The 25,235-nt window shown below is 47.1% G+C and overlaps 1 protein-coding gene, 1 long non-coding RNA gene and 1 pseudogene across 4 annotated transcripts, besides 11 other annotated features; 2 read left to right on the forward strand and 1 right to left on the reverse strand.

Moving 5' to 3' along the window:
• The first annotated feature begins 375 nt into the window (after positions 1–375).
• On the forward strand, positions 376–4,025 carry LOC124903053 (uncharacterized). Its single transcript, XR_007063526.1, has 2 exons — positions 376–530; positions 3,794–4,025. It is a non-coding gene; the product is annotated as an uncharacterized LOC124903053 (long non-coding RNA).
• Positions 820–1,570: an enhancer, noted in NCBI's record as "OCT4-NANOG-H3K27ac-H3K4me1 hESC enhancer chr12:131337941-131338691 (GRCh37/hg19 assembly coordinates)". NCBI's record gives its function as "activates a minimal SCP1, AML or CMV promoter by ChIP-STARR-seq in naive H9 embryonic stem cells {active_cell/tissue: H9 hESC(naive)}" and the evidence as "EXISTENCE:reporter gene assay evidence [ECO:0000049][PMID:30033119]".
• Positions 1,571–2,321: an enhancer, noted in NCBI's record as "H3K27ac hESC enhancer chr12:131338692-131339442 (GRCh37/hg19 assembly coordinates)". NCBI's record gives its function as "activates a minimal SCP1, AML or CMV promoter by ChIP-STARR-seq in primed H9 embryonic stem cells {active_cell/tissue: H9 hESC(primed)}" and the evidence as "EXISTENCE:reporter gene assay evidence [ECO:0000049][PMID:30033119]".
• Positions 2,322–3,071: an enhancer, noted in NCBI's record as "H3K27ac hESC enhancer chr12:131339443-131340192 (GRCh37/hg19 assembly coordinates)". NCBI's record gives its function as "activates a minimal SCP1, AML or CMV promoter by ChIP-STARR-seq in primed H9 embryonic stem cells {active_cell/tissue: H9 hESC(primed)}" and the evidence as "EXISTENCE:reporter gene assay evidence [ECO:0000049][PMID:30033119]".
• RNU6-1077P (RNA, U6 small nuclear 1077, pseudogene) lies at positions 17,184–17,261 on the reverse strand (annotated as a pseudogene).
• Positions 18,530–19,291: an enhancer, noted in NCBI's record as "NANOG-H3K27ac-H3K4me1 hESC enhancer chr12:131355651-131356412 (GRCh37/hg19 assembly coordinates)". NCBI's record gives its function as "activates a minimal SCP1, AML or CMV promoter by ChIP-STARR-seq in naive H9 embryonic stem cells {active_cell/tissue: H9 hESC(naive)}" and the evidence as "EXISTENCE:reporter gene assay evidence [ECO:0000049][PMID:30033119]".
• Positions 18,530–20,053: a biological region, named in NCBI's record as "NANOG-H3K27ac-H3K4me1 hESC enhancers GRCh37_chr12:131355651-131356412 and GRCh37_chr12:131356413-131357174".
• Positions 18,715–18,794: an enhancer, noted in NCBI's record as "active region_7348". NCBI's record gives its function as "activates an Ori minimal core promoter by ATAC-STARR-seq in GM12878 lymphoblastoid cells {active_cell/tissue: GM12878}" and the evidence as "EXISTENCE:reporter gene assay evidence [ECO:0000049][PMID:35858748]".
• Positions 19,075–19,534: a silencer, noted in NCBI's record as "silent region_5093". NCBI's record gives its function as "represses an Ori minimal core promoter by ATAC-STARR-seq in GM12878 lymphoblastoid cells {active_cell/tissue: GM12878}" and the evidence as "EXISTENCE:reporter gene assay evidence [ECO:0000049][PMID:35858748]".
• Positions 19,292–20,053: an enhancer, noted in NCBI's record as "NANOG-H3K27ac-H3K4me1 hESC enhancer chr12:131356413-131357174 (GRCh37/hg19 assembly coordinates)". NCBI's record gives its function as "activates a minimal SCP1, AML or CMV promoter by ChIP-STARR-seq in naive H9 embryonic stem cells {active_cell/tissue: H9 hESC(naive)}" and the evidence as "EXISTENCE:reporter gene assay evidence [ECO:0000049][PMID:30033119]".
• RAN (RAN, member RAS oncogene family) lies at positions 19,490–25,102 on the forward strand. 3 transcript variants are annotated; one of them, NM_006325.5, is made up of 7 exons: positions 19,490–19,550; positions 20,008–20,053; positions 20,260–20,344; positions 20,427–20,552; positions 21,970–22,157; positions 23,036–23,206; positions 23,306–25,102. In NM_006325.5, exons 2-7 carry the CDS (start codon positions 20,018–20,020, stop codon positions 23,348–23,350), a joined length of 651 nt encoding a protein of 216 aa, NP_006316.1. In that variant the 5' UTR covers positions 19,490–19,550; positions 20,008–20,017; the 3' UTR covers positions 23,351–25,102. The 3 variants fall into 3 exon arrangements, with proteins under 3 accessions (NP_006316.1, NP_001287726.1, NP_001287725.1); NM_001300797.2 differs by lacking the exon at positions 20,008–20,053; NM_001300796.2 differs by lacking the exon at positions 20,008–20,053 and having other exon boundaries at positions 20,260–20,336.
• Positions 19,605–19,744: a silencer, noted in NCBI's record as "silent region_5094". NCBI's record gives its function as "represses an Ori minimal core promoter by ATAC-STARR-seq in GM12878 lymphoblastoid cells {active_cell/tissue: GM12878}" and the evidence as "EXISTENCE:reporter gene assay evidence [ECO:0000049][PMID:35858748]".
• Positions 19,795–20,004: a silencer, noted in NCBI's record as "silent region_5095". NCBI's record gives its function as "represses an Ori minimal core promoter by ATAC-STARR-seq in GM12878 lymphoblastoid cells {active_cell/tissue: GM12878}" and the evidence as "EXISTENCE:reporter gene assay evidence [ECO:0000049][PMID:35858748]".
• Positions 21,282–21,351: an enhancer, noted in NCBI's record as "active region_7349". NCBI's record gives its function as "activates an Ori minimal core promoter by ATAC-STARR-seq in GM12878 lymphoblastoid cells {active_cell/tissue: GM12878}" and the evidence as "EXISTENCE:reporter gene assay evidence [ECO:0000049][PMID:35858748]".
• Positions 25,103–25,235: the final 133 nt, after the last annotated feature.

Here is a 25,235-nt window from a genome sequence, read left to right on the forward strand (position 1 = left end):
GCTACCCTGGCATCCTCTGCAGGAATTGCTCTGTCCCCACAGGGACCAGCTCTGTCCCGTGCCTTCTTCGGGGTTTTGGTTCCATGACGTTTCTGTGAGGCTTCTTCAGACCCATCCGGTTAAAAATTGCCACCCCCTTTGAACTGCTCTATGCACAGCACTTCAGACAAGAGACTCGCAGGCTTTTCTACCCCAGCAACCCAGTCTCCAGCTCTCCAGACCCCAGCAGAGTGTCCAACGGTTCCATTCCATTCTGCCCTGAACTACCTGGAATTGGTCCAGACCCCACAGGTCAGGGACTCAGCCCACAAGACGGCCCCGCACTTCAGATGCCAATCACAGATCGGGGCCTCCAGTGCGTCTGACTGACTGGCCATTAATAGAAGGCTCCTACAGCCCCTCCCTCCTCAAGTTTGATAATTTGCTAGAATGCGTCACAGAACACAGGGAAGTGCTTTACTTACTATTACTACTTTATTACAAAGGCTTCAACTCAGGAACAGCCACAAAGAAGAGGTGCACAGGGCCAGGTAAGGATGGGAGGGGCGTGCAGGGGGTCTCAGGACCAGACTAGGCAGCACCTCTTGGCCTACTGAAATGCTAAATCTGAAAATGATCTTGAAGATGAATCCTTGTGTGTGTGTGTGTGTGTGTGTGTGTGTGTGTGTGTGTGACAAGGTCTCATTCTGTCACCCAGGCTGGAGTGCAGTGGTGCAATCGTGGTTCACTGCAGCCTCAACCTCCTGGGCTCAAGCGATCCTCCCACCTCAGCCTCCCAGGTAGCTGGGACTACAGGCTCATGCCACCAGCCCTAGCTAATTTTGTTTTTCTGTAGAGATGGGGTCTCACTGTGTTGCCCAGGCAACAATGCATTGTCCAGGCCTTCTCCCTACCAGCTGCTCCTCTCACTGCCTCCTGGCGTTCACCAACCCAGAAGCTCGCAGAGCCCCGTCATTCAGGGTTTTATGGAGAGCCCATTCGGGAGACATGATTGCTGTCATTGGCCAGTGGTGATTAATGCAATCTGCAACCACCAGAGATCGAGGGTGGAGCTGAAAGTCCCAACCCTCTAATCCCAAGGTTGGTTCCCCTGGCAACCAGTCCCCATCTAGGGGCAACCTGGGACCCTCCAGGAGTCACCTCATTAGCATAAACACTAGAACGGGTGAAAGGGCCTGTTCTGAATAACAAAAGCCGCTATTGCCCCATCACTTGGAAATTCCAAGGATTTCAGAAGCCCTGTTTTGGGAACCCAGAGGAAGACCGAAGGCACGTTATTGCCCACCTGGGAGACCCTCACCATCCCCTCCCCTGTGCGCTTTTCCCGCTGCACCTGCAGCCTCCTCAGGCTCTGCTCAACACATGGACGTCTGCTGTTTCTTACCTGCCTTCCTCCTCAAAAACCTACGGGCAGGGATTTTTGTCTGCTTTGTTCACAAATTATCTTCCATACCTAGAATGGTGCCTGGCACACTTAAGGTTTTTTGTTTGTCTGTTTTTTGTTTTCTGGTTTTTTGTTTGTTTGTTTTTTGTTTGTTTGTTTTTGACAAAGTATCACTCTGTCACCCAGACTGGAGTGCGGTGGTGCACGATCTTGGCTCACTGCAACCTCTGCCTCCCAAGTTCAAGTGTTTCTCCTGCTTCAGCCTCCTGAGTAGCTAGGATTACAGGCGCCCGCCACCACACAGGCTGATTTTTGTATTTTTAGTAGAGACACGGTTCCGCCATGTTGCCCAGGCTGGTCTTGAACTCCTGACTTCAGGTGAGCCACACACAGCCTCCCAAAGTGCTGAGATTACAGGTGTGAGCCACCATACCCGACACACATGAGGTTTTTAATATTTGCTGAGTGAATGAATAAAGAAAAAGGTTACACTGCAAAATTTGCTTAGTACGTTTATCCATTCAAAAGTAAATGGGTGAGTAAATGTGGTGGGTGAGTTATGGCAAATTACAAGTTTGTGAACTTCACAGCCTTCATTTGCAGAGTGAATACTTTGGTTCCGATCACATTCGTGGCTTAATTTAATAAGCGCTCACCCTGTGTGGGTATCACAGGCTGCGGATTCTTCTTGCCTGCTGTCCTGGAGGAGCCAATGAGAACAGCAGGTGCCACAGCAAAGAACGAGTTAATCATCAGAGGGCCAGCCACACAAGGGGAACTGGGAGAAACTTCTCAAGCTCCTCTCCCTGCGACTTGGAGGCTCAGATTTTTAAAAGATACTTTGACAGGCAGGGGTCTGGGGAACTGGAACAACTGACTGGCTGGGTATGAAATCCCAGGAGTGTGTTTGCACAGGTGAGTCCGTTCCCAGGAGGGGAAGGGGATTCTCAGGACTAGGTGGCATCTCTTGGTCTACCAAAATGCAAAATCTGAAAACGATCTCGAAGACCAATTCTCTTTTTTTTTTTTTTTTTTTTTTGAGACAGAGTCTTGGTCTGTGGCCCAGGCTGGAGTGCAGTGGCATGATCTCGGCTCACTGCAACCTCTGCCTCCTGGGTTCAAACAATTCTCCTGTCTCAGCCTCCCAAGTAGCTGGAATTATAGGCACCCACCATCACGCCCAGCTAATTTTTTGTATTTTTAGTAGAGATGGGGTTTCACCGTGTTGGCCAGGCTAGTCTCAAACTCCTGACCTCAGGTGATCCGCCCACCTCAGCCTCCCAAAGTGCTGGGATTACAGGCGTGAGCCACTGCACCTGGCTGTCTTTTTTCTTTTTCTTTTCTTTTCTTTTTTTTTAAAGATATGTTCTCACTCTGTTACCCAGGCTGGAGTGGAGTGGTGCAATCATGGCTCACTGCAGTCTCTACCTCCTGGGCTCAAGTGGTCCTCCCCCATCAGCCTCCCAAGTAGCTGGGACTACAGGCGCATGCCACTACACCTGGCTAATTTTGTTGTTTATAGAGATGGGGATCTCACTCTGTTGCCCAGGCTGGTCTCAAACTCCTGAGCTCAAGAGATCCTTCTGCCTCAGCCTCCCAAAGTGCTGGAATTACAGGCATGAGCCACCGCATCCGGCCTCAAAGACCAGTTCTTTAGGATTCACAATAGTGCTGTTATCTATAGGAGCAGTTGGGGAAGTTACAAATTTTGTGACACCCCACCCCCAGTTATGTGACCAGGGCAGTCAGCAACTTCTAGGAAAAGACGTCAAGCAGTCGGAGGTCATCCTTTAACTCTGCCTATTCTTTTTTTTTTTTTTTTTTTGAGACAAAGTCTTGCTCTCTCTCCCAGTCTGGAGTGCAGTGGTGTGATCTCAGCTCACTGCAAGCTCCGCCTCCCAGGTTCACACCATTCTCCTGCCTCAGCCTCCCAAGTAGCTGGGACTACAGGCGACTGCCACCACACCCAGCTAATGTTTTGTATTTTTAGTAGAGACGGGGTTTCACCGTGTTAGCCAGGATGGTCTCGAGCTCCTGACCTCGTGATCTACCCGCCTCGGCCTCCCAAAGTGCTGGGATTACAGGCATGAGCCACCACACCCAGCCAACTGTGCCTATTCTTTAGCAAAGTCCAAGCCACTACCATAATTTTTAACTTTGCCTCATGAATGAGGCTTCAATCTCCGGACAAGAGGGTGTCAGTTTCCCTTGCCTCCAAGTTTCATAAACTAAATCCCTTTCATAGTTATCATGGCCTCTGTGCTAGAATAAGAAATAAAAAATATTTAGCCTGTGAGGTTAGAAGCAAGATGGAGTCCGTCATGTTAGGTTTCTCTTGTTGTTTATAATTCTGCAAAGGCAGTTTCTCTATACAGCATTCTAACCCATTCAATCTCCTGTCACCCCTAGGAGGAGGCTTCTGTTCAGCAGCAATTTGGATACAAACCCAGCAAGGTTCCTATTTTAAAATCCTGGCTGAGAGTAGCGGCTCGTGCCTGCAATCCCAGCACTTTGGAGTCTGAATTGGAAGGATCTCTTGAGGACAGGAGTTCAAGACCAGCCTGGGCAACATGGAGAAACCCCTGTGTCTACAAAAATGTTTTTAGTTAAAAATAAATAAATAAAATTCTGTGATTTCAAAGTATTGCATTTTTCTGGACTTATGAAATAATAGGGAAAATTTAAAATTCATCCCCATTCCCCCATTTACAGTCCTAAAGAATTGACAATATCAGTCAACCATAGCAGTGTTTCTTCTGCTTGTAAGTTCAAGGCTGGCTTAGAATTCATTGTGTCTTCTCCTCATCCTGGATACAGAATGTAAATTTAAGTGGGTATGAAGCTTTAATGATATCTGAAAATCCAATCGCCTTGCTTATCATTATTGTAGAATATAATAAATTCCTCTTTAAAGGTTTTAGCCTGTACATTGTTTAGTACAATGAGTTCTGAGATCCTCTCCAAAGAACCAATGTATCCGTATGTTCAGCTCCCTCGTTCTTTGTTCTTCATTTTAAAGTTTAACTTCCTCGTTCTCTTCATCTGCTTGCCCCTAGTTTCAATAAACAACCCCCTCCTAGCCTCTATCACCTGCTCTGACCTTAGTCACCCTTGTCCCCTGCTCTGACCTTAGTCATCCTTGGTGACCTGCTCTGTTCTTAGTCATCCTGAGTCACCTGTTCTGTAACCATCCTTCTCACCAAACTACTCCCCTGCCACTCCGACTCGTACCCCTGCTGTCTTTAAAATAGCCAATCAGAATTAGCTTAGACTGTGCAGTCCAACCCTAGCCAACAGGAGAACCACACAGCAGTAGGGGCTACCTGTGTCAGGGATAAGAACTCCTTCCCCTCCCTTGTCCAGGTGTGCTTTCACCATTGCTCCATCCGTGAGACACACCCTTCTATAGTAGTAAATTGCCTTGCTGAGAAAATTTATGCTCGAGTGCTATTTCTTTTGCAGCACCAAAAATTTATTTCTAACAATTATGCAAAGTTTAAGTTTAGAAATAAGCTATCCTAGGCTGGGCGCAGTGGCTCACACCTGTAATCCCAGCACTTTGGGAGGCCAAGTCGGGTGGATCACGAGGTCAGGAGTTCAAGACCAGCCTGGCCAAGATGGTGAAACCCCGTCTCTACTAAAAATACAAAAATTAGCCGGGTGCGGTGGCAGGTGCCTGTAATCCCAGCTACTCGGGAGGCTGAGGCAGGAGAATTGCTTGAACCCAAGTGGCAGAGGTTGCAGTGAGCAGAGATTGCACCATTGCACTCCAGCCTGGGCAACAAAGTAAGACTCCATCTCAAAAAAAGAAATAAGCTATCCTTTTTAAAGATGAGGCCGAATATGTTATCTGGAAATAGCTTTCAAAATACGATGTCACTTGCTGTATCAGGTTCATATGCCTGCTGTCAGAAATTGCTGTAAAGTTAGTGGCCTAAAGCAACACAGATTTGCCATCTTGCAGTTGTGGGGATCAGACATCAGGTGCAGGCATCCGTGGAGTGACGGGGGCTGCTTTCTGCCAGCTCCCAAGAAGAATCCATTTCCTCGCCTTTCCTGGCCTCCAGAGGTACCCACATGTCCTAGCTCCTGACCCATCCTCCATCTTCAGTGCCAGCAACGTGGCACCGCTCTGACCCTTCTCCATGCATCTTTTTCTCTGACCACCATCAGAAATAGGCTCCACTTTTGAGGAGTCAACTGATTAGACAGAGTAGAGTTGCACAATCCAGGATCATCTCCCCATCTGAAAATCTGTACCTTTCATGCAAATACAAATTCTCTCTCGCCATGGAAGGGGACATTGACACTTTCCAGCGACCAGGGCAGGGACCTCCTTGTGGCCATTATTGGCTACCACAGTTTTCAGAGAATTATTTCATGTATCAGTTTATGTGAATGAGAAGGAAACAGCATGAACTTCTTCACACATCTTGACTTTTGTTTAACTTGTTTATTTATTTACTTACTTATTTATAGAGGCTGGTCTCGAACTCCTGGGCTCAAGTGATCCTCCCACCTTGGCCTCCCAAAGTACTGGGATTACACGCGTGAGCCACCACACCCAGGGACTTTCCACATTAACCAATCAAATATTTTCTATTTATTTTAAATAGAATTTAAAAATTGAAACCACGGTGTGACACCATTTTCCCAACTTCTAGTGAAAACAGAAATAGAAAACACACACTTTCAGTTGGGCATGGTGACTCATGCCTGTAATTCCAGCTACTCAGGAGTCTGAGGTGGGAGGGTCCCCTGGTCCCAGTAGTTTCAGGGACACCTGGGCAACATAGTGAGACCCGATCTCTATTAAAAAAAAAGAAAAAAAGGCCAGGCACTGTGGCTCACGCCTGTAATCCCAGCACTTTGGGAGGCCAAGGCAAGAGGATCACTTGAGGTCAGGAGTTCAAGACCAGCCTGGCCAACATGGCAAAACCCTGTCTCTATTAAAAATACAAAAAGATTAGCCAGGCATGGTGGTGGGTGCCTGTAATCCCAGCTACTTGGGAGGCTGAGGCAGGAGAATTGCTTGAACCCAGGAGGCAGAGGTTGCAGTGAGCCAAGATTGCACCACTGCACTCTAGCCTGGGTGACAGAGCTAGACTACATCTTACAAAAAAAAAAAAAAAATACACACCTCTTTGGCCTAGCAATTCCCTTTTAGGAATCTAAAGATCCATAAAATAAAAGCCCCAGTGTGCAAGCACATATGTTTAAGGCTATTAACTGCTGCATTGTTTTCGTGGGAAAGCGAGCTAGAAAAGCCTGAAGGTCTATTGGTAGTGGAAGGTCTGAATAACTTGGGCTTCAGCAATGCAGTGACTCTTGTGTACAGCAGAGAGTCATATCAGATGAGCCAGCAGTGCTGCGGCTGCCCCACCTCCACCCAGGTGAGGTCATGTACCAGGCTCCTGAAACACACTGTGGGGACCCACAGGGGAAAGCGGCCACCCGGCTAGCCTTCAACTCGTGCCCTGGTTCTGAACTATTCTACCAAAGTATATTCTGAATTTATATATAAGCAAATATAATATATTTACATGTGTATGTAAATACACATATATGTATTTCATTTTGTTTTGTTTTTTGAGGTGGAGTCTCCCTCTATCACCCAGGCCAGAGTGCAGTGGCACAATCTCGGCTCACTGCAACCTCCTCCTCCTGGGTTCAAACGATTCTCTTGCCTCAGCCTCCTGAGTAGCTGGGACTACAGGAACATGCCACAACATCTGGCTAATTTTTGTATTTTTAGTAGAGATGGAGTTTCACCATGTTGGCCAGGCTGGTCTCAAACTCCTGACCTCAGGTGGTCTGCCCACCTAGGCCTCCCAAACTGCTGTGATTACAAGTGTGATCCACTGTGCCCGACCAATATACAAGTGTTTATTTATTTATTTTTATTTTTTTGAGGTGGGGTCTCGCTCTGTTGCCCAGGCTGGAGTGCAGTGGTGCAACCTTGGGTCACTGCAACCTCTGCTTCCCATTCTCAAGCAATTCTCCTGACTCAGCCTCGCGAGTAGCTGGGATTACAGGCGCGCACCATCACACCCAGCTAATTTTTATATTTTAGTACAGACGGGGTTTCGCCATGTTGGCCAGGATGGTCTCGAACTCCTGACCTCAAGTGATCCACCCGCCTCGGCCTCCCAAAGTGCTGGGATTACAGGCGTGAGCCACCATGTGCCTGGCCAGTATACACATATTTCTAAAACCTGTGCTGTGGGTTGAATTGTGTCTCTCAAAGATGTGTTGAAGTTCTTCTCCCCTGTACCCATGAATGTGGCCTGTTTTGGAAATAGGGTCTTTACAGAGGTAATGGAGTTAAGATGAGGTCATCAGGGTGGGCCCTAATCTGGTGACTGGAGTCCTTCTAAGGAAAGACAGAGACGGAGATACACAGAGACAGAGACGCCTCACATTCACAGGCGACAGGGAGACACTCAGGGAAAAGACTGCCACGTGACTGGAGTGATATGTCTACAAGCCAAGGAGAACCAAGGGTTGCCCGCAATGCCAGAGGCTAAGAGAAAGGCACAGGACGGAGTCTCCCCTCGAGACGCCAGAGGGCCACGGCCCTGCCCACACCTCAATTTCAGGCTTCTACCCTCCTGAACTGTGAAAGAATAAATTTCTGTTATTGTAAGTTACTGGTGTGTGGTGTTTTGTTATGGCAGCCCTGGGAAGCTGATGGTACCCTATAATTATCTTATGAATAGCACAGTTATGTGGCACTGGGTGTTGGTATGTCTTAGAAGAGTCAGTAAAAGCAAGAATTCAAAATGGTCCACAATTTTTGAAACCCTAAAAATAATACTGAAAATTTAACTATATAGTGGAAGATGTAATAGGTACATTTTGAAACTCTATGTCTGTGAAGTGCCCCAGGCATCTCTCAACCTTTGAGAAGTTCTGTTATATTCTTATGCTTTCCTACATTTTTTTCTGTCCTCCTTAATTAGACTAGATTCTCCTAAAGTGACAGGTAACACTGAATGAAAGATGTTACTGGCTGGGTGCCATGGCTCACGCCTGTAATCCCAGCACTTTGGGAGGCTGAGGAGGTCGAATTACCTGAGGTTAGGAGTTCGAGATCAGCCTGGCCAACATGGTGAAACCCCATCTCTACTAAAAATACAAAAATTAGCCAAGCATGGTAGGATACCTGTAATCCCAGCTACTCAGGAGGCTGAGGCAAGTAAATCGCTTGAACCCAGGATGGGGAGGTTGCAGTGAACTGAGATTGTGCCACTGCACTCCAGCCTGGGTAACAAAGCGATACTCCATCTCAAAATAAAAAATAAAAAACACATTACTGTTGGCCCTAACGGGGGCAGTTGTCTTATTCCATTTAGGCTGTTATAACAGAATACCATACATTGAGTGGCTTATAAACAATAGAAACTCCTTTCTCATAGTTCTGGAGGCTGGGAAGTCCAAGATCAAGGCACCAGCACATAGGGTGTCTGCTGAGGACCCACTGTCTTGTTCAAAGATGGTGCCTTCTGGTTCATAGACTTTTCACTGCTATAGTCTCCATTGGATTTGATAAATTGAAAAAAGTGAATTATAGATTATATAATTCATAAATGTATTGTTAAATATACTTTAAAAGATTACCAAAAACAGCGATATGTGGAAATAGTCAAAGAACCCAGAAAAATACACCCAATAAGTGAATTAATAATAGAGTTCATTTAACAACAACATATACAGAAATAAAAGTACTAGCAATGAAAACACACAAAGTTGTAAATTATATTGTGCCATGCACAAAATTAAGAATTTTTTTTTTTTTTTTTTTGAGACAGAGTCTTGCTCTGTCACCCAGGCTGGAGTGCAGTGGTGTAATCTCGGCTAACTACAACCTTCACCTCCCGGGTTCAAGTGATTCCCCTGCCTCAGCCTCCCAAGTAGCTAGGACTACAGCCATGCACCACCTCACCCAGCTAATTTTTGTATTTTTAGTAGAGACGGGTTTTTACCATGTTGGCCAAGATGGTCTCGATCTCTTGACCTTGTGATCTGCCCACCGCAGCCTCCCAAAGTGCTGGGATTACAGGCGTGAGCCACTGTGCCCAGCCAAAATTAAGAATTTTTAACATTCATTCATTGGCAGCGTTTTGCCATATTGCCCAGGCTGGTCTTGAACTCAGGTGGTGGAATGGGTGAGGGAGCTCCCTGGTGTCCCTTTGTTAAAGGCACTAATCCTATTCGTGAGGGCCCCACCCTCTTGACCTAATCACCTTTCAAAGGCCCCACCTCCTAATACCATCACCTTCAGGGTTAGGATCAGAACAGATGAGTTTTGGGGGAGGAAACATTCAGACCACAGCAGAGGCTCCTTGCCCTCACCCTAACCCCGAGCTTCCACAATAACAAAGCCAGCATGTTCGCCTCTCTGCACCTGGCTGAGCCCTCCTCCTTCTCTCCTGTGCTCACCTGCCTCAGCCAGCTGGGTTCCTTGCTGTCCCAGGACAGCTCCAGGCAGTCTCCCGCCTTGGGGCCTTTGCACTTGCCCCTCCCTTTTGCTGGAATTCTCTTCCTCCAAATATCTGCATGGCTCCTTCCTTCACCTTCTGTGGGTCTCTGCTCAAACATTACCATCTTAGGGAAGGTCTCTTGGGCACCCGACCTGCACAACCACCTCCTTCCTTCGACCGTCTGTATGTTTTTTGTTTGTTTGTTTGTTTGTTTTGAGATGGAGTCTCCCTCTGTTGCCCAGGCTGGAGTGCAGTGGTGCAATCTCGGCTCACTGCAACCTCCGCCTCCTGGATTCAAGCAATTCTCCTGCCTCAGCCTCCTGAGTAGCTGGGATTACAGGTGCTCGCCACCACACCTGGGTAATTTTTGTATTTTTAGTAGAGATGGGGTTCCACCATGTTGGCCAGGCTGGTCTTGAACTCCTGACCTCAGATTATCCACCCGCCTCGGCCTCCCAAAGTGCTGGATTACAGGGGTGAGCCACGGCGCCCGGCCTGTATGTTCTTTTTTACACAGAGTCTCACTCTCTGTCACCCAGGCTAGAGTGCAGTGGCGGGATCTCAGTTCACTGCAACCTCTGCCTTGCAGGCTCAAGCAGCTTTCCTGTCTCAGCCTCCCGAGTAATCAGGACTACAGGTACACACCACCATGCCCAGCTAATTTTTGTATATACTGTAAAGATGGAGTGTCACCAGCCCAGGCTGGTCATAAACTCCTGGCCTCAAGTGATCCACCCACCTGAGCTTCCCAAAGTGCTGGGATTACAGTTGTGAGACCGGCCTGTATTTTCTTTAACTACTTTATTTTTCACCTTAGTAATTATCACTATTTCATAGATGTTACTTAATTCTCAGGTTCGTTTTCTGTCTGTTTTACTGAATGTCCCAGTCCCTGGAGAGTGCCTGGTACACAGCAGATGCTCAATAAATATTAGGTGGGTGAACTAATACATCTGTGCATTTTTCATCCCTCTTAGACTCAGTAGAGTTTCGCAACTCAAACAGTTCAGGGCTCAGGCAGGTAAGCAAACATGCAGAACAGGCTGAGCACCAGATGACAAGGGGCAAATGGCTTGAGGCCTGCGTCTGAGATTTAACAGGGAATGGCGGGCTAGGGGCAATGGCAGCTGGCAGCATTTGCCCCGTCTGTAGGGGGCAGTGGCTATATACCTCCAGAAGGTTGTAGCCACACAAGAAAGGAGGCTCAATGCCTTCCAATCTTATTATGATTTTCAAAGGAATCCAGATACCTGGATTTTATGTGAAATATCCTTTTCTTTCATATTAGTTATCTATTACTGTGTAACAAAGTACTCAGTACATTAACAAAGTACATTAACAAAGTTAATGGCTTGAAACAACAATCAACCCTTTTTATCTCACACAGTTTCTATGTGACTTAACTGGATCCAGGTCTCATGAAATTTGCAGGTAAAATGTCAGCTAAGGCTACAGTCACCTGAAGGCTGGACCAGCGCTGGAAGATTTTATTTCAGGATGGCGCGCTCATGTGGCTGGCAGGTTTTCCAGTGTTTTGCTTTGTTTTTTTGAGACCAGGTCTCTCTCTGTTGCTCAGGCTGGAGGGCAGTGGCAGGATCATAGCTCACTGCAGCCTTGATGTCCTGGGCCCAAGCAATACTCTGGCCTCAGCCTCCTGAGTAGCTGGGACTACAGGCGCAGACCATCACGCTTAGCTAAATTTTTTTATTTTTATTTTTTGTAGAGACAGGGTCTCACTATGTTGCCCTGGCTGGACTCAAACTCCTGGGTTCAAGTAATTCTCCTGCTTTGGCCTCCCAAAGTGCTGGGGTTACAGGGATGAGCCACCGCACCTGGCTGGCTGGCGGGTTTATATGGGCTCTTTGCAGTGGACTTCAGATTTTTGTCACAAGAACCTGTCCATAGGGCTGTGTTTGTCCTCACAATACGGTGACCAGGTCCACACAGAGTGAGTGATTCTAGCCACAGAGCCCCTGTGACCTACTTTCCAAAGTAACACACTGTCAATTATGACATATTCCACTTGTTATAAATAAGTTGCTAAGTCCAGCCCACACTCAAGGAGACATTAATTAGAATCAACCTTTTCAATGGAGGGGGATCAAAGAATTTCCAGACATAAAACCATCCAATCTTAAAACGCTGTCAATGAGTTCAGATGGAAAGCATGTTGTTACTCACCCCAGCACAGGTCAGATGACGCCCTTGAAGGTTCTGTTTCGTATGGGCCACCAAAGAGTACACTCAGCACTATTTTCATCTTTATTTATTTTTTATTTTTTAAATATTTATTTAAATTTTTTTTTTATTTTTTAAATTAAAAAAAAAAATACAGGCTGGACACGGTGACTCATGCCTGTAATCCCAGCACTTTGGGAGGCTGAGGTGGGTGGATCACCTGAGGTCAGGAGTTCAAGACCAGCCTGGCCAACATGGTGAAACCCCGTCTCTACTAAAAATACAAAAATTAGCCAGGCATGGTGGCACATGCCTGTAGTCCTAACTATTCCAGAGGCTGAGGCAGGAGAATCGCTTGAACCCAGGAGGCAGAGGTTGCAGTGAGCTGAGCTGAGATCATGCCACTATACACCAGCCTGGGTGACAGAGTGAGACTCTGTCTAAAAAAAAAAAAGATAAAATAAAATTTTAAAAGATTTTAAACAATTCTATTTAAACATTTTATTAAAACCTTAAGGGCCGGGCAAGGTGGCTCACACCCGTAATCCCAGCACTTTGGGAGGCTGAGGCGGGCGGATCATGAGGTCAGGAGATCGAGACCATCCTGGCTAACACGGTGAAACCCTGTCTCTACTAAAAATACAAAAAAATTAGCCGGGTGTGGTGGTGGGCACCTGTAGTCCCAGCTACACGGGAGGCTGAGGCAGGAGAATGGCGTGAACCTGGGAGGCAGGGCTTGCAGTGAGCCCAGATCGCACTATTGCACTCCAGCCTGGGCAACAGAACGAGACTCCATCTCAAAAAAAAACCTTAAAAAATTATAGAGACGAGGTCTCACTATGTTGCCCAAGCTGGTCTTGACCTCCTGGATTCAAGTGATCCTCCCACCTCAGCCTCCCAAAGTGCTGGGATTACAGGCATAAGCCACTGTGTCCAGCCTTTATTTTTAAATTAAAAAAAAATTTTGAGTCAGGGTCACGCTCTGTCACCCAGGCTGGAGTGCAGTGTATGCAAAGATTAGTCTTTGCCATGAAGTACCATTATTAACATTCAATAGGCCTGCATATTTATTATTATTATTATTTTTTTTTGATAAGAGTCTTGCTCTGTTGCGAGGCTGGAGTGCAGTGGCTCAATCTCAGCTCACTGCAACCTCCGCCTCCCGGGTGTCTCATGGGTTCAAGCAATTCTCCTGCCTCAGCCTCCCGAGTAACTGGGATTACAGGCACCCGCCACCATGCCTGGCTAATTTTTTGTATTTTTGGTAGAGATGGGGTTTCGCCTTGTTGGCCAGGCTGGTCTCGAACCTCTGGCCTCAGGTAGTCCACCTGCCTCAGCCTCCCAAAGTGCTAGGATTACAGGCGTGAGCCACCATGCCTGGCCTATTATTTTCATTAGAATATAATGCTGCTGTGTCTCATTCCTCTTTCTGTATTCAGAAGGGGTCAAGAGTCATTCATTCACCTAGAAGGCACACACCTGTAATCCAAGCTACTTGGGAAGCTAAGAGAAGAGGTTCATTTGAGCCCAGGAGTTCGAGGCTGCAGTGAGCTATGATCATGCCACTGTACTCCAGCCCGGGCAACAGAGCAAGACTGTGTCTCTAAAAAACAAAACAAAAAAAGAGTAATTTATTCAATATTTCAATAAATATTGTTTAAGCATACGTTATGTGACAGGCTCTGCGCTAGATACTTTGAATGTCATGACATGGTATGCCACTTATTTTAGTGAAGAAAAGAAAGATTGAAAAACGAGCACGTAAATAATTAAGCAATATGTTCTCAATAATGTGCTCTGAAGAAAAGAAAGTGGGTGCTGAAGTGGAGAAAGCCTAGGGGTGGTCAGGGGACTGAAAGGTGAGAAGGAGCCAGCCAGGCTAAGATATGTGGAGAAGAGCATCTTGTTTATTTGTTTATTTGAGACAGGGTCTTGCTTTGTTGCCCAGGCTGGAGGGCAGTGGCTCGATTATGGCTCACTGCAGCCTCCAACTCTCAGGCTGAAATGATTCTCCTGCCTCAGCCTCCCAAGTAGCTGGGATTACAGGCATGTGCCACTACACGTGGCTAATTTTTGTATTTTTAGTAGAGACGGGGTTTCACCATATTGGCCAGGCTGGTTTGAACTCCTAACCTCAAGTGATCTGCCCGCCTTGGCCTCCCAAAGTGCTGGCATTACAGGCATGAGCCACCGTGCCCAGCCAAGGGAAGATACTTTTAAACAGAGGGACCAGTAAGTGCAAAGGCCCTGTGGCAGGAATAAATTTGGCTGGGGTAAGATACAGAAAGTCTTGTGAGGTTACAGGGAGAGAGGCAGGAGACGAGGTGGGAGAGGTAGGCATGAGCTAGAGCCCATAGTACCTCCCTGGCTACAGATTTCATGGATCTAAGTGAGACAGATAGAAAACTACTGCAGGTTTTACCAGTGGAGGAGGATGATCTGATTTTTTTTTTTTTTGACAGAGTCTCGCTCTGTCACCCAGGCTGGAGTGTAGTGGCGCAATCTCGGCTCACTGCAAGCTTCGCCTCCCGGGTTCACGCCATTCTCCTGCCTCAGCCTCCCGAGTAACTGGGACTACAGTCACCCACCACCATGCCCGGCTAATTTTTTGTATTTTTAGTAGAGACGGGGTTTCACCATGTTAGCCAGGATGGTCTTGATCTCCTGACCTCATGATCCGCCAACCTCGGCCTCCCAAAGTGCTGGGATTACAGGTGTGAGCCACCACACCCTGCCTCTGATATGGTTTTAAAAGATCACTCTGGGTCACATGCAGTGGCTCATGCCTGTTATCTCAATACTTTGAGAAGTTAAGGCAGGAAAATTGTTTGTGGCCAGAAGTTTGAGATAAGCCTGGGCAATGTAGCAAGACCCCATCTCTACAAAAAAGAAAATAAATTGCTGGGTGTGGTGGTGCCTGCCTGTATTCCCAGCTACTCGGGGGGCTGAGGTGAGTGGATCATTTGACCCCAGGAGCTCAAGGTTGCAGTGAGTCATGATCTCGCCACTGCACTCCAACCCTGGTGACAGAGAAATACCCTGTCACTACAAAACAAAATCCACCCTGTGCCTCCTGATCTGAGACACTAAGAAGGACACAACATCACTTTTGTGGTTTTCCTACCCAAACTGCATAACCTGTATCTAATCATGAGCTAGTATCAGAGAAATCCAAATGAAAGGACAGTCTACAAAATACCTGGCCTCTAAAATACTCTGCAAGGCCAGGCGTGGTGGCTCACGCCTGTAATCCCAGCACTTTAGGGGGCCCAGGTGGGTGGATCCCCTGAGGTCAGGAGTTTGAGACCAGCCTGGCTAACATGGTGAAAACCCATCTCTACAAAAAATACAAAAATTAGCCAGGTGTGGTAGCAGGCACCTGTAATCCCAGCTACACAGGAGGCTGAAGCAGGAGAATCACTTGAACCCGGGAGGCAGAGGTTGCAGTGAGCTGAGATCGCACCACTGCACTCCAACCTGGGCGACAGAGCAAGACTCTGTCTTGGGGGAAAAAAAATACTCAGCCGGGCGCGGTGGCTCATGCCTATAATCCCAGCGCTTTGGGAGGCCGAGGCAGGCAGATCACGAGGTCAAGAGACCGAGACCATCCTGACCAACATGGTACATCGTGAAACCCCGCCTCTACTAAAAATTCAAAAATTAGGTGGGTATGGTGGCGTGCGCCTGTAGTCCCAGCTACTCAGGAGGCTGAAGCAGGAGAATGCCAGAACTCGGGAGGTGGAGATTGCAGTGAGCCAAGATCATGCCAGTGCACTCCAGCCTGGCAACAGAGAGAGATTCTGTCTCAAAAAAACCAAAAAAAAACTCTGCAAAAAGTGTCAAGGTCATGAAAGATAAAGAAAGGCTGAAGGACTTGTAGATGGAAATAGACTAAGGAGGCTGACAAGCAAACGTTCCATGCAATCCCGGACTGGATCCTAAACCAGGCAAATGGTGTTAGTGAGACATCTGACAGTTAAGGGTCGAGATTAGATAATCAAATTAGAGCAATGTTAACTGCCTGATTTTGATAAGTGTACAGTGGTTATGTAACAGAATGTCCTTGGTTTTAAGAACTGCACATCAAAGGGCATCCTGTTTGCCACTTACCTCAAACATTTCAGAGAAAAAAAGTCATATATATACACACACACCTAATTACGTCTTTATAAAATCACATATAGGTATATAGGTGAGATCAGCTGGGGCAACATAGTGAGACCCCATTGCTACAATAAAATAAATAAAAAATTAGCTGGGCCTGGTGGCACATGCCTGTAGTCCCAGCTACTAAGCAGGCTGAGGTGGGAGGATCACTTGAGCCCAGGAGTTCCAGGCTGCAGTAAGCCACTATGCTCCAGCCTGTGTGACAGAGACCCTGTCTCTAAAAAAAAAACTAGAGACTAAGGAGGCCTGAGAAACAAGTTAAAAGCGTAACATGCAATCCTCGACTGGATTCTTGTAGGGGAAAAAACGCCAAAAGGTATAAACACTGATGTTCTCATCACCCAGAATTATACAAATGGTTAATATATTGTCACCTTGCTTTGATTACCATTTTTAAAATTAATTTTCTTTCTTGTTTTTTTTTTAGAGACATGGGTTTCACCATGTTGCCCAGGCTGGTCCTAAACTCCTGAGCTCAAGTGATCCATCTGCCTTGGCCTCCCAAAGTGCTCGGATTACAGGCGTGAGTCACTGCACCCAGCCTGATTAGATGGAGTTTTGCTCTGTCGCCCACGCTGGAGTGCAGTGGTGCGATCTCTGCTCACTGTAAGCTCCACCTCCCGGGTTCACGCCATTCTCCTGCCTCAGCCTCCCGAGTAGCTGGGACTACAGGCACCCGCCACCACGCCCAGCTAATTTTTTGTATTTTTAGTAGAGACGGGGTTTCACCGGTTTAGCCAGGATGGTCTCGATCTCCTGACCTCGTGATCTGCCCGCCTTGGCCTCCCAAAGTGCTGGGATTACAGGCGTGAGCCACCGTGCCCGGCCCTGATTACCATTTTTTAAAAAAGAAATGGAACATTGCAGGTAAGGTTAAACTCTTCTATGACCTCTCTCCGCAGTTCCTGGGTGACAAGAGCGAGAATCTGTCTCAAAAAAAAAAAAAAAAAAAAAAGAAGAAGAAAAAAAATTGTCATCCTTGCGCAGGGGCCATGCTAATCTTCTCCGTATCATTCCAATTTTGGTATACGTGCTGCCAAAGTGACCACTCGATTACCTATTCCAATATAATGAAACCCTGTTTCTACTAAAAATAAAAATAAGATAAAAATAAAAAAAATAGCTGGGTGTTGTGGCGCATGCCTGTAATCCCAGCTACTCAGGAGGCTGAGGCAGGAGAATCACTTGAACCTGGGAGGCGGAAGTTGCAATGAGCCGAGATCGCACCACTGCACTCCAGCCTGAGCGAGAGTGAGGCTGTCTCAAAAAAAAAAAAAAAAGGAAATAGAACATTGCAGGTAAAGTTAAAGTCTTCTTTGACTCCTCTTCTCAGTTCCATCACACTCCTTTCTACCCTTTCTTGAAGCAATAACCATCAGGATATGGTATATAGATCCTTGCAGTCAATTAAAAAAAACAACAAAATACATATATCCAATAGCCAATATGCTTTTGTTTTATGTGTATTTGTAAAAAATATACATAAATGACATTATACTATATATATAATCCCTCTAGATAAAGTTACATATAGTGTTAGGTTTTATGTATTAATTTTTGAAAACAGGGTCTTGCTCTGTCTCCCAGGCTGGAGTGCAATGGTGAGATCATTGCCCATTGCAGCCTGTAACTCCTGGGTTTAAGGGATCCTCCTACCTCGGACTCCCAAAGTGCTGGGATTACAGGTGGCCTAGACTTTATAAAGCTGTTATCACCTCTTTCTTCTTTTCTCAACACTATCCTTTTGACATCTATCTAACCCTGTTGAAACAGATGACCGTCATTCCTTTTAAATGTTATACAGTATTAAATGTTGTGCACATGCGTGAGGCATGAGTTTAACTCTGGGGCCTCTCCCTAGAAATGGAAATCCGGGGTCACAAGCAATGGGCATTCCCGTTTTACTGTTAGATTCTGCTCTCCCGCCAGCAGCGTCTGAGAGGTGCTTGGGGTTCCCCTGAGGGTTCTGGGGGAGCTCGGACTTGCGTTCCCAGCAGGCCGGTTGTCGCCTGCTTTGTGCCTAATTTGCGTCACTGGGGTTCCTAGCGGACTCGCCTGCAAGTGTGCTCAGGACTGCAGGGAGGACTCTTCGGTCACTGCGGCTCTCTCCCCATGGTGGACTCTTCTGAGGCGCTTGACTGCGCTGATTTGGGCCTTTATCTGTCTGCATGTCGGCAGGGGCGCCCAGGAAGTCGGGTCCCTCTAGCTCAAGCTTGTTTGGGCTCTTACAGCTTCAGGCCAACAGGGGGCTGGGAAGCTGAGCACTTACTCATTCCGTCCCCGTTGGTAACTAGGGCTGGTAGACGCGTCCAGACTGCAAACAGTATTTCATCATTTTGTCTGTAGCATGCAGCGGCCAAAGCTGCCAACCTATGAAACGCTTTGAGAAGCCGGACGCTTTGGGAGGCCGAGGCGGGTGGATCCCCTGAGGCCAGCCTGGGAGACATAGTTAGATTCTGTCTCTCAAAAAAATTTTTAAAAAATTACCCCTGATGTGGTGCGCGCCTGTAGTCCCAGCTACTCGGGAGGCTGAGGCGGGAGGATCGCCCGAGCCTGAGAGTTCGAGACCAGCCTGGGCAACGTAGCGAGACTCCGTCTCTTAAAAAAAATAAGTAGCCGTTTTTCTGGGTGGGTGCATCCCTCTCTGGTTCCTCGCTCTCCAACTGGCCCTGGTCCTGGGGGCGTGAAGGCTACGATCTGGAGAGACAGAACAGCGGGCTGCCTCTGGAGGACGGGCCTAGACCCCATTCATTCATTCATTCGTTCTGTCACCCACCCGTCCTGCGCGCACGCGAGCCACCCTAAGCCCCAGGACCTCAAGAACCCCCACCCCACGGGGCACAGACAAGGACAGGCTGGCCAGCGCCTGGAAGCCGCGTGCCTGACCACGTCTGCCCGAGCGAGTACCGCCTCCCACCCGGGAGGCAGGAGAGCCGCGACCGTCGGGCCGCGCCCAACGTCTCCCGCTCAGGGGCGCGCCGCCTCGCTTTCAGCGCATGCGCGCCCGGGAGCCCGCCCGGGGCGTCGGCGCACGCGGTCCCCACCGGCCGGCTTGCGTACGCGCTCCCGGCTCGCCCTCCCACGCGGTCCACCGCGCCTCCCGCCCCACCCTAAGCGCAGCGACCGCCCGAGCGGCCGACCGAACCGCGTTGCGTGCGTGCGCGCACGCGCGGGCCACGTGGGCGGGCGCCGCGCCGTTGCCCCGCCCCTTGCAACCCCGCCCCGCGCCGGCCCCGCCCCTGCTCTCGCGCCGGCGTCGGCTGCGTCTCCGGCGTTTGAATTGCGCTTCCGCCATCTTTCCAGCCTCAGTCGGACGGGCGCGGAGACGCTTCTGGAAGGTATCGCGACCCGGCGGGCCCGGCACGGCCGGGCGGGGACAGGGGTGGCGGCGGCGGGATAGGGGTCGGAGCCGGGGCCAGGGCCGGGGCGGGTGGCGGACCCAGGGGCAGCGGGCGGCTGAGTAGGTGGGTGGTGCGGGCCCGGCCGGGCCGGGGCAGGAGACGGGCGTGGGGTCGGCGCTAGCCCCCGCGAACCCCCGTTTCATCCTCCGCTCTCATCCCCGTCCCGGTCCCAGTCCCGTTCCCATCCCTACACCTCCGGCCGCCGTTCCCCGGGCCCCGCCGCCCCGGATGCCGGCCCCGCCCGCCGCCTTCCCGCTCCCAGGCCTGGCCGCCATGGCGCCGCGGGCGGGAGGCCTTTGTGGGGCGGGCACGTGGGGCGCTGGGGGCGCGGGAGCGGGGCCGCCATGGGCTGCGGGGCCGCGCGAGCGCTCGCCTCCGTCCTCTGCCTCCGCAGGAACGCCGCGATGGCTGCGCAGGGAGAGCCCCAGGTCCAGTTCAAAGTAGGTAACCCTGCGGGGCGGGAGGCGGCCGAGCCCGACCGCGTGCGACTCGCGGGTCCCTCCTCCTGGGGCCACGATGGCTGTAATGGGGCCCCGCATCCACATTCTTTGTTTTAAGTGAGCCTGTGGTGGTTAAAGTTCCGTGACTCTGGGATCTTGAGAGGTGAAGTGTTTAGGGTTTACTTCCAAAATGTGTTTTTCAACAGCTTGTATTGGTTGGTGATGGTGGTACTGGAAAAACGACCTTCGTGAAACGTCATTTGACTGGTGAATTTGAGAAGAAGTATGTAGGTATGTGCTGGAAAACCTTGCTTGTGGAAATATGTGAGAAATGGGTAAGTTCATCCACTCAATCGCATCGTTTCCGTTTCAGCCACCTTGGGTGTTGAGGTTCATCCCCTAGTGTTCCACACCAACAGAGGACCTATTAAGTTCAATGTATGGGACACAGCCGGCCAGGAGAAATTCGGTGGACTGAGAGATGGCTATTATATCCAAGGTAGGCATTTGTAACTTGCTGAACGGTTTTTGAGAGGTTTTGTGTACTTCAGTCTTCAAGGTTATAGAAAATCAGGTCTGTTCCAACAAATAGTGTCATTTTTGGGTTAAAAAAAGACAAGTGGACTTCGGGGAGTTGACCACCATTTTGGTGGCAGAGAAAATTTTATTAAAGTTGTGTCATTTGCATGCTGTGTCATGCTAGGCATGCTTTAGAAAAAACTATGACTTACACTGGGACTTATAAGTCATATTTAAAACAATAATAGGCTGTTAACAGCAGTTTCAGTATTTGGAAACTTAGGTTCATGTATGTATTTTGGTGTGGTGATCAATGAATGTTTTTACTGTATTAGAAAACAATAAACACCAGATACTAGACCAGAGGAGATAGGAGATCTTAACAAGTGTTATACAAGACTAGCTGATTTCTTGTTAAATTGTTTGTACTAAGTTGTGCAGAGTATTTTTCTCAAATAGTTTGATTTAAAAATTGCAAGGAAAATGTTCATTGTACCAAAAAGAGGAATCAAGAAAATACTCATCTCTCTTGGAACCTCACGTTGCCGATAACACATTATCTGGAATCATTCCATGCCTTTTGCTTTCCTTGAGCATGTACAAATAAACACAAGAATTTCCCCCAAAAGAATCCTTTAACCAAAAAGTTGTGGTTTCTTGCCTTGCTAACTGTACCATAGTTATTCCTGCAGGTGAATATATAGGCTTTATCTGGGTTATTTATTTATTTAATTTTTTTTTGAGACAGGGTTTCGCTCTGTTGCCCAACCTGGAGTGCAGCTTCCGCCTCCTAAGCTCAAGCCATCCTCTTACCTCAGCATCCTGAGTAGCTTGGACTATAGGCACGTGCCACTATGCCTGACTAATTTTTGTATTTTTTTGTAGAGATGGGGATTCACCATGTTGCCCATGCTGGTCTGGAACTCATGAGCTCAGGTGATCCACCCACCTCAGCCTCTCAAAGTGCTGGGATTACAGACGTGAGCCACATTGCTTGGCCTATCTGGATTTTTTAAGACAGGAATAATGTTTTCCAGTATAGCCAGCCATTTAAAGACCTTCTGAAGAATGTGTTTCCAGGCCCTACCCTCAGAATATGGCAGCTTGGTTATCCAGAATCTCATTTAGCATTAATTACTTCAGATACTTTTTTGGGATGAGGGGAGTATTAATGGTGAAGTATATCAGGGAGATTTGATAGGGTCAGCTCATCTCTCTTAGGAGGAATTGTGTATTAACATTTTTAGAATTGACAGAGACCTTGAAAGTGAGGGGAGAGATACAGGTGACTCGTTGAGGTCTAAGACTATAACTAGTTGAATCCTAGTCTCTGGTTCTTAGCATTCTTCACTTGTGCAGTAAACTGAGTGTACTAATTCCCACAAATGTTTCTTCAGCCCAGTGTGCCATCATAATGTTTGATGTAACATCGAGAGTTACTTACAAGAATGTGCCTAACTGGCATAGAGATCTGGTACGAGTGTGTGAAAACATCCCCATTGTGTTGTGTGGCAACAAAGTGGATATTAAGGACAGGAAAGTGAAGGCGAAATCCATTGTCTTCCACCGAAAGAAGAATCTTCAGGTGTGTAAAATTAAAACTTCCTGAGTTATTTCTCTTAGCGGAGATTATATGTAAGACCATGAAATTAACCAGTGTCTATTATATATGGAAATGATTTTTTTTTCCCCAAGACGGAGTCTTCCTCTGTCCCCCATGCTGGAGTGCAGTGTCGCAATCTTGGCTCACTGCGACCTCCGCCTCCCGGGTTCAAGCAGTTTTGTCTCAGCTCCCCTAGTAGCTGGATTACAGGTGTGTACCACCACGCCTGGCTAATTTTTGTACTTTTTTTTCTAGTAGAGACGGGGTTTCCACCATGTTGGTCAGGCTGATCTCCAACTCCTGACCTCAAGTGATCCACTTGCCTTGGCCTCCTAAAGGGCTGGGATTACAGGCATGAGCCACTGTGCCCGGCCGGAAATAATTTTGTCTTTTTTATACTACTGTTTTTAAAGAATGATAGAGATTGGGTTTCACTGTTGGCCCGGTTGGTCAGCTGAAATGTTTGTGTATTTATATATTTGTTGTTCGAGACAGGGTCTTGCTCTGTTGCCCAGGCAGGAGTGCAGTGGCATGAACATAGCTCACTGTAGCCCTGAACTCCTGGGCTCAAGCAATCCTCCCACCTCAGCCTTCTGAGTAGCTGGGCTCACAGGCACTCACCACCATGCCCACCTAATTTGTTTTTTTGTGGAGTTGGGGTCTTGCTCTGTTGCCCAGGCCTGATCGTGTACTATTGGCCTCAGGCAATCCCACCTCAGCCCCCGAAAGTGCTGGGATTACAGGCATGAGCCACCATGCCTTGCCAAGAATCTTAACATTTTCTTATCTTGCAATGTCCTAGAAAAATCGTCATCTTAATAATGAATTTTAAAAAGTAATTTTACCTTTCTTTTAAACAGTACTACGACATTTCTGCCAAAAGTAACTACAACTTTGAAAAGCCCTTCCTCTGGCTTGCTAGGAAGCTCATTGGAGACCCTAACTTGGAATTTGTTGCCATGCCTGCTCTCGCCCCACCAGAAGTTGTCATGGACCCAGCTTTGGCAGCACAGTATGAGCACGACTTAGAGGTATTGTGGCCACTTTGCTGTTCAGATTGTTCGGTTTGGCTTGTTTATTCCTGGCAGTTTTGATCTGGAGTGTTAACGTTTTTCCATCTCTTCGTCTAGGTTGCTCAGACAACTGCTCTCCCGGATGAGGATGATGACCTGTGAGAATGAAGCTGGAGCCCAGCGTCAGAAGTCTAGTTTTATAGGCAGCTGTCCTGTGATGTCAGCGGTGCAGCGTGTGTGCCACCTCATTATTATCTAGCTAAGCGGAACATGTGCTTCATCTGTGGGATGCTGAAGGAGATGAGTGGGCTTCGGAGTGAATGTGGCAGTTTAAAAAATAACTTCATTGTTTGGACCTGCATATTTAGCTGTTTTGGAACGCAGTTGATTCCTTGAGTTTCATATATAAGACTGCTGCAGTCACATCACAATATTCAGTGGTGAAATCTTGTTTGTTACTGTCATTCCCATTCCTTTTCGTTTAGAATCAGAATAAAGTTGTATTTCAAATATCTAAGCAAGTGAACTCATCCCTTGTTTATAAATAGCATTTGGAAACCACTAAAGTAGGGAAGTTTTATGCCATGTTAATATTTGAATTGCCTTGCTTTTATCACTTAATTTGAAATCTATTGGGTTAATTTCTCCCTATGTTTATTTTTGTACATTTGAGCCATGTCACACAAACTGATGATGACAGGTCAGCAGTATTCTATTTGGTTAGAAGGGTTACATGGTGTAAATATTAGTGCAGTTAAGCTAAAGCAGTGTTTGCTCCACCTTCATATTGGCTAGGTAGGGTCACCTAGGGAAGCACTTGCTCAAAATCTGTGACCTGTCAGAATAAAAATGTGGTTTGTACATATCAAATAGATATTTTAAGGGTAATATTTTCTTTTATGGCAAAAGTAATCATGTTTTAATGTAGAACCTCAAACAGGATGGAACATCAGTGGATGGCAGGAGGTTGGGAATTCTTGCTGTTAAAAATAATTACAAATTTTGCACTTTTTTGTTTGAATGTTAGATGCTTAGTGTGAAGTTGATACGCAAGGAAAATGGTCCATGTTTACCCACAGTTTTCAGGTACTCCTAGACTTTAAAGATGTCTTGAACATTTAAGTTCTTCAGCAGTTCACACTACACCGTTTTTTTGTTTTTTTTTCCCCCCCGGGAGGGTTTTTTTGTAGGGCAGCACAGCAGAGCAGGACATGGATGAAATACTAGGAATATGCACAGTGGGGCAGTGTGGGGGCTTCTCAGTAATGGAGAACAGTTGGTGAAACTTTTTTTTTTTTTTAACTAAGCATTTAATTTATCTTGCATATTTTCCACATTTAAAAATGAATTAGGTCTATTAGGATAATTAGGAGTTTGATCCCATCAACACTATTCTTGTAGCAGTTAGGAATCTTGAGCTATTTTTTTCTCATACGATTACTATAGTCCAGTTTACCAAAGTTTTCTTTAGATGTCTGATAATCTTGAGATGATTGCTTACCTTAAAAGGTATAGAAAGGATCACTTAAATATATGGAAAAATGAAATAAGGGTGAAGCTGAATAAAGTTCTACTTACTGTATTAACTGGCAACAGTTGAGTTTCTTAAGATCTGAATTGCTGTGTATGTTACGCTGTATTCAGAACCAGTTTCTAACCAGCCTGTGAGATGGGAAGTTTTTTCCCCATAATTGGGATGAAACCTTTCATTCAGGTATTTTGAATTGAAGGTGTATGTGTTGTTTGTAACCTTGTGGAGATTGCAAGTGGTGTTGACATTCTGGATCTTCTATGTAACAGTTGAAATTTGGAAGTGACGTCACTTACCTGTCTAACGTGGTGTGGGAGAGAATTTACAAGTCCTTTATTGAAAGAATAATTGTTGCAAAATATATTGCTTCTACTTTGCCTGGATTTTTTGAATCATCTCTAGTATTTGCTTTAGGAAATGCTGAAGAGTTAGCAGAGATTATTATCTTTTGGGGGGGCGGCGGGGAAGGGGTCAGTTCTCTCCAGATTGTACAAATGGGAAAAGTCTGCTCTCCAT

Source organism: Homo sapiens, chromosome 12 (assembly GCF_000001405.40).
Source record: "Homo sapiens chromosome 12, GRCh38.p14 Primary Assembly".
In the NCBI taxonomy this organism is placed as follows: Eukaryota; Metazoa; Chordata; class Mammalia; order Primates; family Hominidae; genus Homo; species Homo sapiens.